This window comes from Homo sapiens, chromosome 3, assembly GCF_000001405.40.
Source record: "Homo sapiens chromosome 3, GRCh38.p14 Primary Assembly".
NCBI lineage: Eukaryota > Metazoa > Chordata > Mammalia > Primates > Hominidae > Homo > Homo sapiens.
The window spans coordinates 143,436,860-143,451,558 of NC_000003.12; the positions used below are offsets into that span (position 1 = coordinate 143,436,860).

The 14,699-nt window shown below is 38.5% G+C and overlaps 1 protein-coding gene across 4 annotated transcripts in view, besides 1 other annotated feature; it reads right to left on the reverse strand.

The window, feature by feature from the left end:
* SLC9A9 (solute carrier family 9 member A9) overlaps positions 1-14,699 on the reverse strand; it is a 583,247-nt gene that overhangs the window by 171,638 nt on the left and 396,910 nt on the right. The gene's annotated exons all lie outside the window — the stretch shown is intronic.
* Positions 6,618-7,817: an enhancer, noted in NCBI's record as "P300/CBP strongly-dependent group 1 enhancer chr3:143162319-143163518 (GRCh37/hg19 assembly coordinates)". NCBI's record gives its function as "activates an origin of replication core promoter dependent on BRD2, BRD4, P300/CBP, MED14 and CDK7 cofactors, with strong dependence on P300/CBP, by STARR-seq in HCT116 cells {active_cell/tissue: HCT116}" and the evidence as "EXISTENCE:reporter gene assay evidence [ECO:0000049][PMID:35650434]".

Below are 14,699 nucleotides of genomic sequence, written 5' to 3' on the forward strand. Positions count from 1 at the left end.
AAGCCTTCCTTCTCTGAGTTAACTCTTACTTTTCTTTGATGTGTCCACTCAGAAGTCACTTTCTTCTCAAGGCCTTCCCTCACTCCCTGGATTATGTATAACCAGGCATTGAGCTAGATTTCCCTGTTACATCTCAAACCATTGTGCACCATTCATGTAAAGCTCTTATTGGAGTATTAACATCTCACATTTTTGTGAAGAGTTGATTCAACCTATTTCCCCCACCAGACTTGGCCCTTCATGTCAGCAGGACTAGGTCTACTTGAGTTCCCCACTATTGTCCCAGCCACAGTGGGTGCCCCATAGCAGGGGCTCCATACATTTTGAATGAATGAATCACAGACTGCACTGGAAGAGACACTGAAGCTTCCAGAAGTGACACGATTGGCCCAAAGATACAGTGCTCCTATGGCAAATTGTATTTTCTTGATTCCTAGTCCCACATTCCTTCCTCTGTTTGCTTGCAAGCCCTCTCCCCTCAGAATGAAGGTTGCTTCCAGAACTGCCCTGGTCCTTGGCCAGACAGGCTCAGATCCCACAACGGTCGTCAGTGGACACAGGATGGCTAGAGGAAGTGGCGCCCAGCAAGGGCCCTGTCATACCCAGGTCCCTCAGACTATTACTGCGTCCTGCTTCCTTTGAGGCACGATAGTGTATTGCACTAAAGATCTAAGACTTTAGTTCAGAAAACAGCTGATATCTACTAGAAGAACGTTAGAGGCCCGAGGCCGCTCAACAGGCAGGAAAGTAGGTCAACTTAAATTCTATACGCAGAGGGAGAGCTACAGTTAAATGATGGGAGACATGTTATGATCCTACTGTTAGGGTCTTGGGGAAAGAATAATTCCCCACCCCCAGTCACTAAACTGGCAGTAGAAACAATTAAAGACCTTAGTTACCCAGGAACATCTATTTCGTTCAGAGAAGAAAAATAGCGCTTATGAGTGTTCATGAAATGATTTCAATCAAGAGCAAGACTATAAACTTAACAGCATGAATGGTATAGATAGAGCCAGGTGCACCAGGAAACACACTGTCTTTAAGTTAAATGGCTAGGCTCTCTCATATGGTCACTAGAAAATTATAGAGGGGAGTTGTTAGCTTGGCATTTCCTTTTTCAATAGTAAATCAATGAATCCTTCATTTTTACTAAATTGTTTTCCTACCCTCTAGGGAAAATATGACACAAGCATAATGCAGATGCAGAAAGGAAAGGCCAGGCTGGGACAAAACATTTAATTAAATCCCCTTTTATAAAACAACTTTCCTTCAGCTTGAAAAATGGATGAAACAAAATGTGCTTATACAGGCAAAACAATTAACCAGGTCCATAACAGTTTATAGCTAGCATGGATCAATCACAGGTGGTAGTTGATTCTATTGCCTGTCATGTGTGTCAGGGCGGTTGGTAGGGGAGGCAGTGGGGAGCTCAGTCTCAAAATGGGGGCCCCAACTCTCCACTCCCCTCAAAGAGCAGCATAGGCTTATGTGGGAGTTGGCAGTGCCCAGAGTTCTGTGTTTAAGGAACAGTGTGGAGACAGGTTCCATCAAGGATCTCCCTGGCGTGTGTGTGTGTGTTTGTGTGTGTGTATGTGTGTGGTGGAAGTTGGAAGAGGAGTGTGGGGGAAGCCTTCTCCCCATTCCAGCCTGAGAAATCTAGTCCAGTCATTCCCAAACCTGTGCCTGAGATTCACCATCATCTGGGGAGGTTTTTAAAAACACAGATGCCCTATCCCATCCCAGACAGTGGAATCAGTGTGTCGCAGGGCAGAGTCAGAATATTCTACTTTGCTAAGCTCTCAGTCTGGAAAGACCCACAGGGTATGGGGCTCTCTGCTCCATCCAGTGCCTGCTTTGGCAGCAAAGGAAACCAAGTTTGGGGATTGCTCAAGCCACATGGTTCTTGAGTGGGGAGTGGACCCGAGTTACCAGTGACTGGCCCAGGGGACCTCAGCTGCCTATGCTGCCTCCAGAGCCACACCCCACCAACTCCAGGAATGTCAGTGCCCAAGAGGACTCAAGGTCTTCATGGATCCAAGAGCCCAGGGCTTTTGCTGCAATAATATGCTGCTTCCTGTGTTCTTACTAAGGTCTGTTCATTTGTTGATTTGGTCATTTATTCATTTCTTTAATTCTTCAGCATTAAACTTGTATGCTTGTCTACTTCATGCCCAGCTGCAGGTGACGGGGTTATAAAGATAAATGAGCAGTGTCTGTACCCTGGAGAATCATACAGCTTACTAAGAGTGACAGCCTATAATATATGACAATTCTAGGCACTTATTGCTTGCTAGGCACCATTCTGGGCCTTTTCCCTGGGTTAACTCTGTTAATCCTCCTCAGTGACCATGTGCAGTAGGTGCTATTGCCCTCATTTTGAAGATGATGAAGCAGATGTGCAGAAAGGTGAAATAACTTGCCTGAAGTCACACAGCTAAGAAGGGGAGGACCCAGGATTAGCATTCTGTTGCTTAGACTGCCTCTGAGCCGGTCTTCTTAGCCTTGAGCCCATGCTGCCTCTGGCTCAGCTCATTGTACTTTCAGAGTACAGTGGGGCACAGGGAGCAAGGGCTCAGTTCTCAGACGGATGAGGAAAGGACCGTGGAGAAGAAGTCACCACACTGAGCACCAGGTAGAAGGCAGGGTAAGAAGAAGAAGTGGGACAAGAAGAGCATCCTGAGCCATGGGGGCTTTGGGAGCAAAGACCTGGAGGCATCTCGCTGTGGGTTACCTGTCACACCTGGCTTGAGAGGTCACAGAGCCTTCACACATATGACTTATCCCTTTAGTTAGGGGCCAGACTCCTAGGACTATGTCATTCTTCCCTGTATCCCCCCAACTCCCCTCATTCTCCAGAGCACCCAACGAATGAAAAGAGAGATGCAAAGAACACAAGGACCTGGGCTCTGAGAGGAGGCTGGAGTAGCCTCTTAAGGGCTCTGGCAGGTGGGAAGGAGGTGGTTCAGTGGAATGTGTGGCCATGAGGATAAAGCAGAAGTTAGTCATGTCAGAGGCAGAGGTGGCCCTTCTAAAGCTCAGGCACCAACCTCTGGGCCTTAAAATGAAGCCCTCAGCAGTTTTATTGCTTCAGGAGTTCAGAGACTGCCCTGGGGCTGAATTCAGCCTGCCTCTGACATTGTTGGTTTTCCAGAGCAGCAGAATTAACCAATGCATACTACATTGTTTTCATGCTCACTTAAACCACATTCAAACTGTGCTTACAGCAGGAAAGGGACAGTTAAGAAAGAGTGAATGGTGCAGAAAACACAAGGAGCATATGCTGACGGTGGCTGAGAATTTTTGTGACTTTTGTTTGCCCCTCTCTTCTGCAGGGAGACCCACCTAGGGATTTTACAAGTGCTGAAAACACAGCAATTTATAATGTTTCCTGTGGGAAATCAACAAAGTCCTTTAAGGCATTTGAATGGTATCTTTAATCTCCACTGTGCTAATGCTGCTTGAGTTCTGGGAGGGTTCCCTTTTGCTTATGATTGGCAGAGTAAGGGGAAACACCCTATTCACTGGGTGCTCTGGAGAATGAGGAGAGTCGGGGTTACGGGGAAGACTAACGTGGTTCAAGGAGTTTGGCCCCTAACTAGGGGGACAAGTCATATACATGAAGGCTCCATGACTTCACAAGGCAGAGATGAGATACAGGTCATCCACAGTGAGGTGCCTCCAGGTCTTTGCTCTCAAAGCCCGCATGGCTCACGATGCTCTTCATGTTCCACAGGGTATCCCACCGGGTAAATGAAGCTGTATATGAGCCTGTCTGTGTTAGCCAAGGGCCACAGCAAGCCTTTGCTTACCGATGCAGGTCTTTACTGAATGTAGTGATACTCTCTTTGATGTGAAATTACAAAATGATAAACAGCTTGGTGGTAGAAAGCCACTTGAACAGTGTACACCCCAAAGGAGCTTTGCTGGTAAAACTGAAGCCGTTTAAATATATTCATGGACAAGAGGCTTTAAAGCAAGCCTGGCATAACTTTGGGGCATTGTTATTCTACAGAGCTTGGTCTAAAACTACAGATTTAAAGATGCTGTTCTTCAGAATTCTATTTACTGACTTGAGGGCAACTTTATTTGGTGACATCAGGAAGTTTGTCCATTTTCTGTGCTGTGCCCTTTCAGACAGGCTTACTCTTCTCTAGGATCTTACTGTGCTGACATATTCTTGTTAACCCAGTTTTTTTCTTTTATCATTCTCACCTTTCCAACCTTCCTCCCTTTCATCAAAACTTACCCATTCTAAGTTGCATTTTCTCAGGGCCCTACTTTTTGTTTGCCAAAGTGGTAAACAGTAACTGAGAATCTCATGAGTATTCATGAGTAAATGGAATGAGCTAGAATTCCTCTTGACTCTTTCCTCAACTCCTTCCTCCACTTTGTGGTAGAATATCTGCTTAACGGATATTCTAGGTACTCTCTGGAGCTTTAAAGGGAATTTCAGGCCATGTGAAAAAGGGTGTGGAGCTATGCCAGGGAGGGTGGGAAGTGTACTTATGAATAACGTGGGATCCTCACAGAAAACCTCAGATAAACACTTTTAACACAAACTAATATTCCTACTGCATCAGATACCTTAGCAGGTAATTATAGTCACTTTCTTACTAGACATTGGTCTCTCTACTTTTATCAAGAACCCAAGAGTTAGTCAAAGGCATCTTGGCAGTTAAACATATGCATCCTTCAAGCATTTAGGACAACCTAAGACTGTGATTGCTAATTTCACATCAGCCAGTATCTGCACTTTTTTTTTTTTCCAGAAGAAAAAAACCTTGTTATCTTTCAATGCAGAGTTATATTGAAGTGATCAATGTGTGCTCTGGATGGGCTGTGGTTTCTGTTTTCTATGCCAGCCTCCTTGAGGGCCCTTCTCTCAGAGTTCCCCATCTCCGCCCTGTACTATCAATTTGGCCATATGTAAAGTGTCCTTTAAAATACCTTCTAGGCAGTGTGTCATTTACTCATTCATCCATCCATCCATCCATCCATCCATCCATCCATCCATCCATCCACTCATCCATCCATCTCTACTCATCCATCCATCCAGCCACCTACCCACTTAACCACCCATCCCCTAATTACCCATCCATCCTTCTACCCACCTGACCACCCATACCCTTATTACCCATTCATCCTTCCACCCACCCATCAGCCCAACCACCCATCCCTTAACTACCCATCCATCCACCCACCCACTCATCAATCCAACCATTCTGGGTGGTTTGGCCTTACTGAAATAGGAGAGGGAGACAGGTTGCTGAGGAAGGTGCCTGCACAGTGGAGCTCCACCCTTTAAGATCAACGTAGAGCAAAATGAGTATAAAGTAACAATTTTATACAAACAAGATGGGCTTCCTACAAAACAGTTTCTGAAAGGACTCATGTACTGTTACAGAGCAGCATCTCAGTGGAGATACGCCCTCATGTCAATAAAACAGACAATATATTTTCAGCTCCCAAGGTCAGAATGCTCACCAAGCTCTCACATGTTTAAAAACTGGACAATTATAGCATTGTTGGCTTTTGCAAATTGCTTGCTACCTATGTAAATTCTAACTTTAAACTCACATGGGCTGGGCACGGTGGCTCATGCCTGTAATCCCAGCACTTTGGGAGGCTGAGGCGGGTAGATCACCTGAGGTAGGAGTTCAAGGCCAGCATGGCCAACACAGGGAAACCCCGTCTCTACTAAAAATATAAAAATTAGCCCAGTGTGGTAGTGGGTGCCTGTAATCCCAGCTACTTGGGAGGCTGAGGGAGGGAGAATTGCTTGAACCCGGGAGGCAGAGGTTGCAGTGAGCCAAGATTGTTGTGCTACCGCACTCCAGCCTGGGTGACAGAGTGAAACTCCATCTCAATAAATAAATAAATAAACTCACATGTTGCAAGTAAGCGTTATTAGCACTAGAAAGTGAAATGGGACTGGTGAGTTCAGTTAGTAGAGACGAACAAAGGCTTGCTTAGGCATAAAACAAGATGGGAGAGGACATGATGTTGTGTAAGAAAACTGCCAGCCCATGGGGCCCGGTGGGGTGGGAGCTAGGGATGAATGACAAAGATTTTCCTACTAAGTTGGAAGAATGTTCTCTGAGGTTATGGTCCTTTGATTGTTTCTAGTACTTAAGCATGATCAACTGCCATTTGAGCTACATAAAGTATGACTAAGGACTCCATTTACAGCCTCTGGGAAAGAAAGAGTCTTTTGAATCCTCTGTAGCCTGCTCTGGCTAAAGAGACACATTAAGGTATGGTATAAAACAAGCCACCCCTGTAGGGGAACAGATTAGGGCTTGGGGGTGTGGGGGCTGGGGGCCAGAATATTACATTTGAGATACAAAATTACATTGAGAGGCAAGGTTTAAAATCATTTGTCTCACCACATGTTTTCCATTTGTGACTTCTCAAAGCCACAACAAAGGCTCTCCCCTCCTTGCCCATGTGCCTGCTATACTGATAAGGTGAACAGTTTTTTTTTTTAAAGGTTTTCAGCATAATAGTGTTTTAAGACGTAATCTCATTTGCTGCTCCTTTAATTGCTGTTTTGTAATGTTTTATCTATTTTAATTACTGTTTTAATGTGCTGCTTGTACCCTGAGGTGCTTCTGTGAAGGGTACCATTTTAAGAAATGAAGAACTAGATAAACAAATAAATCCACAGGTAAGGGATCATAGTAGTCTACCCTGTGTTTAAATGAGCATTTTTAATTTGCCTGGTATTGAGTGTTGACTAGCAATAGTCTCTTTTTCATGTGTAAGGACAGAGGTATGATGTCTAAGGTCCAACACAAAGCATACGTAGAGCTGGGAATAAAAGGCAATATTCCCAAGGGCTGTCCTAATTCACAATAAGTAGAACTTATGCTATCATGTTTAAGTTTGATCTTATGTTCCCAACAATTCTTTAGAAGTAGCAATAGCTCTAATGAAGGCAAAAGTATATATTTTCCATTTAACTCTAGTAGCAATTGAATTGTAGTTTTCTTGGCCAGGAAACAAATTCAATAGACCCAGTTCTTAACCTGAGTCATGTTACCCTTAGTCACACACATGACACGATTGCATTCCTTGGCTTACTAAAGCAGGAAATGGACCAGTGGCTTGGGGTTTCCTGACTGGATAAGTAGGTGGTGTAATGACTTAACATCCCTTCACTCCCCCACGGCCACACCCAGATTTTTATTTCCGTATTTAAACACAAGCAAGGTCAAAACAACAGATGAAATTTAATAAAACAGTAGTAGTGACGCCTAAATGTTTTTACTGACTTCCTAAAAATGCTTTGGAATCAGCTTCAACTGCATTTATAAATGAAGAAGGAAATGAAGCTCAACACCCCAGCTACGAAATTGTTTGGTCCTAAATTGGCCAGATGCCTAGATTTCCTTTATGTAAACAGGGTCAAATGTGAGGCCAGCCAATTGTAAACTAAGATTCTAGCCTCCTATATTCTCATAGTCGGAGATGTTAATGAAGTTGCCAGGTTTCCACAAAGTTGAAGTGCAACCTCTTCCTATCATGAAGCCCAGGCAGATGCAACCAGCCCAGGTAATGGCACAGCAGCCTAGGCCACTTGGAACAAATGTGGTTCATGGAGTGCAAAAGAAATAACTTTATCATGCCCCACCTTTCCCCAACACACACGTACATACCTACTTTTTCAGACTCTGGAGCGGGGTCCTTGACTTTTTAATAGTCTCAGATAGTTTATTTTTAAGTCCTCTGGTGACTTCTAATCACATAAATAGTCTCAGCTTAGTAATATGTAATAATAACAATCCCTAAATTTCAGCTGGAGTGAGTCTTCCTACCCCATCAGCTTGGGCCTGCCACCAGGGGTGAAGGGGCAATCTTCTTATTTTCCTTCTCTTCCTTACCCCATTCCTAGTTGCTAGCTTGACTTCTCCAAGGTGAGGGGACAGAGGAAAAGGAAGAGGTAAATGGGAAAGAAAGGTTTCATTCAATTGGCATGAATGTGGCATATTTCCCTTTGGCTGTGGTGGATGTTGGAAGCTGGCCCATGTGGGCATTTGTGAGGTCTCTTCAGGGTTCCGTCTACCCCTGGGCCCTCTGATGGGCAGTTTCCTGATATGGACTGTGTGTCCATCCACCACTGCCTTGGCCCCTGAACATCTAACTCCATAGCCCCGGTTTTCCTCTGCTGTGATCTTCTCACCCCTTCAGGTAACATTCTAGGTCAGAAAGTAAGCCACCTCCACAGAGGCTCTCTCCATTATATCACACATGTCAATCAATAGGAAACACACTCTTTAGATACATTCTTGGTGGGAATGTAGGAACTTCTCAAGCTGTGGCTCACTCTGCTGTTGTAGACCACTTCAGCTAGTTTTTGACACCTTAGATTTCTTAGATGTGAGTCAGACAGTGAGTATATCACGGGGTTCCCCAGTCCTTTGAGGACATGCATGAAACTTGTCAATGGTCTCACTGAAGCCACATCTCATGGGCTTAAGATGAGGACAAACAACTTATTACCCCTTTCACATAGGAGATGTGATTCACAGGTTTACTTTGACCAATGGAATGTGAGTAGACATGATACATGCCATGTCCCAGCAGAAGCTCTTGGAAACTTTGGGAGTTTCAATCCTTTTGCTCCTTTCCTCTGCTACAAGAGAATAGCATGCTACGGATGGGACTGCTCCTTTAGCCTGGGTCTAAGAGTGAGAAAACAGATGGCACAGAGCTCCAAACAGAGTCAAGCCGAGCTGAGCTGCAGATGAACCCAGCAGAGTCAAGCAGATCTGTAGCTGACACCATACCTTTATGGAATTTGAACAAAACACTGATCTTTATGGTTGTAAACCATTGTGATATTAGGACTAGTTCCTGCAGCAAAAACTGGCATATACACTAGCCAATAGGTGGCCAGGGAGGTATGAGATTAATTAGGTGGAGTGTGTCTTAGAATCCAAGTGAAGAAAGTGTTTCAAGTAAGATCAATTATGTTAAAAGTTTTTGATTGTCCAATAAAATGCAAAGTGAAGCTTGACCATTGGACTTAGCAACGCTGAGGGGAGTATCAAGACTAACAAGAACAGCTTTGGTAGAATGATGGGGCTACAGACTGCTCAGAGTAAGTTTAAGAAAGAGTGAGAAGAAAGGATTGGTAGACACTATGAATTATAGCTCTTTTGAAGGATTTTGCTGTAAAGGACAGCAGAGAATGGGGCTGTAGCTGGAGAGAAATGTTTTATTTTAAAAAATAAAAGTAATTAATCTGGGTTTTTAAATTATCCAGTGAAAAGGACAAAATAATGATATGAGGGAAAAAAAGAGACAAATATTGGAGTAATGTCTTCCAATAAGTAGAGAGGATATGATTAACAGGCAAGTAGAAGGGGGGGCCCTAACTGGAGTGAGGCCAGTTTGTCGGTTGTAATATGGTGGAAGGTGGAGTTTAAGGAAACTGATGCAGGAGGTAGATACACTGGGGACCTCGTGGAAGTTATCTTCTGACTGTTTCTATTCTCTTACGAATTGGAAAGATGATCTGCTTAAAGAGAAGGCTGGGGAAGGGGTTATGGGGGCTTGAGGAGAGAAAGTTGGAACCTGTTGCTCAGCAGAGTGGGAAGGTAAATGGGTTAGGGCACTTCGGGATGATTGATGAGCAGCTCCTAAAGGCCCTGAATGCCTACTGGGTGCCAGGCACTGTGCTAACAGCTGAGAGACAGAGGGAAGAGGTCCAGACCTCACTTTTACCCTCAGGAGTCTCACAGTCTAAGGTGGAAAGTTGTCATTCAGATCCATTAGTGAACCATGAGTTACTTCTGTGGGGTGTGATCTATCAGGATGGGAAATGTGGGAATGCGGTGGGAGTACAAAGCAGGAAAGTACCTTAGCTGGGGCAGGAGGCTGCTGATGGGTAAAAGGTTCTCAGGAGAGATGACTGACTCTTAGTGTGAGGCATGGAAGAAGAAATAGGTGGTGTGGCACATTTGGGGGAAATTAAAATGCTTCAATATGGCTGAGATATAAGGTAGGTGTGTATGTGTGTGTGTGTGTGTGTGTGCATGCACACATGTGTGCACACAATCATATGTGTATGTACTCACATGCATGTTTAGAAGAGGGTTATATGTGTGACAAAGTGATTCCCAGAGACACATGTGTTGAAAGCCATGATCAATATTCTGCCTTCCTGTTTCCCTGTGACATGCACCACATACTTGAAACTACCACCTTATCCCCCTCTAAGCCTCATCTATTGCAAATATACTTGGAGGAAGCCGAAGTTATAAAGTTGTTATTTATTTTTACAGCATGCATTGGGAGCTATAAGACACACTGCACAACCCAATGAGAAATTAATTGTGAAGACGTAAACACAGGCCAGATTTCCATTTCACCTTGGTGCCCTACTGGGTTATGCAGACTGAGAATTTGGCTCAGTGACTGAAAAAAATTCCTAGCCAAATGTTTGTGTTGAGAACTGGAAGCAAAAGTATTAAGTAAAACACACAACATCAAAAACAATACTATTATATCATTAATTTTACAAAATACATTTACTCCTATAGTCTTGTGTTTCTTTTGTTGCCAGTAGAATAATTTTCTCTCTGAAAACCATTGCCTTAAAGTTAACCTTAAAAAAATAAAACAGGGCAAGTTGTTTTTTGCAAATGACTTGTATCACTATTTGAAATGGTTTCCAGTTAGTATTCCCTAATGGTGTTCCTGCTAACTTCCTACTAAAATCCATTTCAAGGCCCAGAAAAGGCAAACAATTCCAATACTACGGAAAACCCTATGCAATGGACAAGCTTGTGTGGAATATCACAGGAGTTTTCAATACTCATAATGCTGACAATGGTTATTTTGAGAAAAGCAAACAGGAGAATAGAGCATCGTTGTCTGTCTAAAGATGGCAGAAACATACTTTGTTCATAGCCCCGCTGTCTACCCCAATTTGAAGAACACGTGCTTGTATCGACCAAAAAACCTATGACAACACATCATAGGGCAGGAATGAAAGGTGAATTAGGGATGTAGTGTCAGCTACACAAAGGCAGGGATTTCTATGTTCTATTTCTGTCTCTTGCTCTATGCTTTATTCATTGGCTGGCACACAGTAGAAGCTTAATTAATATTTGCTGAATAAATGTGAATGAATGAAGGAAAGAATGGGGGATGGAGGATGGCATTTTCAAAGGCATATTGCATCCCGTGGGACTAAGTGTCCCATTAGTAAAATGGTAGCCATGGGTGGAGATCCCAGGAGTAGAATGTGCTTCATTGGCCAGACAGCCTGGAAACTAAGTGGTAAGGACAGCAGAAAATTCTGTGCAAATAGGGCATAGCTCGAAAGATGAATGTTTGCTAGATCCTGGGCCCTGGGTAATAAATGTTGCAAACTGACCTCTAGCTATGGCTCCAAGAAAAGAATGTGATGAACAACTAGATGAGCATTGAGGGGAGCCAGGGGCAATCCACACACCTGTCCATTGGCGAATACTGAGTCTGGAAAGATTTCTCTATAGTCAAGTACTAGCAAAGACAAGAAAATTAACACAAAGCTTATCAAGATGTTTTACTGAATGAGGAAAAAGGAACATCTTCCTGCAGACCCAGAAAAAATGAGCTTCTGGAATCAGGACAAAGTTTTAGAAAATTGTTAGGCATCCTCAAAAGCATGCAATTATCATGGAGTAATAAGAAAACAACTGGAAAGCCACCAAGGAAAGAAGAGATTACATTGCTGGTGTTTAAGTTAATTCAACCTTGTTGGAAAGCAATTTGGCAAAATGTATTTTGAACTTTAAAACATATTCTACCCTTTGACTTTCTAATTCCATTTTTAAGAATCTATCCTAAGAAAGAAATTAGAGATATAATAATTTTACATGAATAAAATAATCACAGTATCATTTATAATAGTCTAAGATTATTCCAGTATAATATGCTTTAATACAAATGTAAATAATTTTGAATTAAAATTTATTTTATATATAATTATAATATATTATGTTATATAATATATTATATAATATGATATATATTATATATTATAATATATAATATGATATATATTATATATTATAATATATAATATGATATATAATATATAATATAATTATATAAATATAATTATATAAAAATAATTATAATTATATAATTATATAAAATATAATTATAATTATATAATTATATAAAATATAATTATATTATATAATTATATAAATATAATTATAATTATATAATTATATAAAATATAATTATATATTATAATTATATAATATGATATATATTATATAATTATAATATATAATATGATATATAATATATAATATAATTATATAAATATAATTATATAAAAATAATTATAATTATATAATTATATAAAATATAATTATAATTATATTATAATATAAAATATAATTATATATTATATATTATATAAAATATAATTATAATTATATAATATATAATATAATTATATAAATATAATTATATAAAAATAATTATAATTATATAATTATATAAAATATAATTATAATTATATAATTATATAAAATATAATTATATAAAATAATTATATAAAATATAATAATTATATAATTATATAAAATATAATTATATAAAATAATTATATAAAATATAATAATTATATAATTATATAAAATATAATAATTATATAATTATATAAAATATAATTATATAAAATAATTATATAAAATATAATTATAATTATATAATTATATAAAATATAATTATATAAAATATAATAATTATATAATTATATAAAATATAATTATATAATATAATTATATAAAATATAATTATATTATATAATTATATAAAATATAATTATATTATATAATTATATAAAATATAATTATATAAAATAATTATATAAAATAAAAATTATACAAGTATATATAATTATATATATTTATATATAATTATATATATTTTATATATATAATTATATATTTACATATATAATTATATGTATTATATATATATAATTATATATATAAAATATATAATTATATAAATATATAATTATATAACATATAATATAATATTACATAATATATATTACATGTATATATATTATAATATACATTATATAATATATATAATATATATTATATGTATATATACATATATATACATATATGCATATATACATATAATATATATACATATATGTATATATACACACATATATAATATGTATATATAATATAACATATATAAATACATATATAATATACATATTATATTATATATTATAATATATAAATATATAATTTAATATATATTATATAATATACATATTTATTATATTATGTAAATATAATATATAAATATATAAATAATAAGATAAATATAATATATAAATTACATATAATTTATATATTGTAACATAAAAATTATTCTAGTCTGATATGCTTTAATACAAATTTAAATAAATAATTTTTATATTAGTTTGTTATTCAGTTCTTGAAAACATAAACTCAAAAGATAGCTAATAAGATTAGAAAGTGGTCATGCTATTTTTAAGTAAAAAAATAGAATATCTGAATTTTACAGAGCCAATAAAATTGACTTTAGAAAAACGTACTCAAGTGTTAATAATAATTATCTCTGTGTGAAAGGACTTCAGGTGAATTTTATTTTTTAAAATAATTTTCTGGTTTTCTCATTTTAGTTAACAAGCATGTATTATTTTACCCTCATAAAAATTAAACACTGCTCAAATGCCTCCTATTTAATGAAAAGTAAAGATTACTGTTTGAAACATACACATGCCATCCTCCTTTCCTTTGAGAATCCCACTGAAATGACAAAAGTGCTATACAAAATTGAATAGACCCATGGTGACAGTGAATTAAAAAAGGGTAGGCTTCTTTTGATGGCTAGGTCAGAATAAACTGCAGCCCACATGGACACAGGCTGCAGTGGAGGCAGCATAGCCAGAGGGGTAGGTGAAGAAATCCACAGCAGGCTGTGATGGCCATCACATGGGCTCAGCCAACCCACTCCCAGCACTGCAGCTGAGCTCTCTCAACAAAGAGAATGGTTTACCTTAGGGGGACTCATGTGTGGGTGCTATGCCGGAGAAGAAGAGAGAAAGGAGGCCTGAGGGGACATGAAGTGACCCCTAATGTTCAAATTGCATCCTATAGGTAATCAAAGAAAAGCAGACAGACAGTGCCACCAAGAAGAAAACCATTGGAGATGCTTTTGAATCATCTCCAAACACGGGGCAGCTTCATTACTGGCCAACTACAATCTCTACTGCAAATCTAGCACTGGCAAGAGTGTTATTAAAAAAAAAAAGAGGAAAAGAAGAGCTAATTTTCATCCAAACATTTCTGTAGTGTTTTTGCAAAACAGCTATCTGTACTGAGTACAATGAAATCTGCATTAAAGCATATTTTGCCTCTAATGGGCAATTCCCTGTCTTAAGCAGTTTCTTCCAAGTGATCCTTTTTGGTAGAATCCAGCACTTATTTTTAAAAACTTTAGTTAAAATCTCATATATTGGTTACACAATTAATCTTCAGGGTAGATGCAAAATGGGTGTTTCATTGCAACTTTTTGGATTTTACACAGTCATTTTTTAAAACAGTTTCATTAATGTTTAAAACACATACTAGTAAGTAAAAGACTGTAATATATTAAAACATAAGGCTTTATGTTTTAAAAGAGAAGTTAAGGAT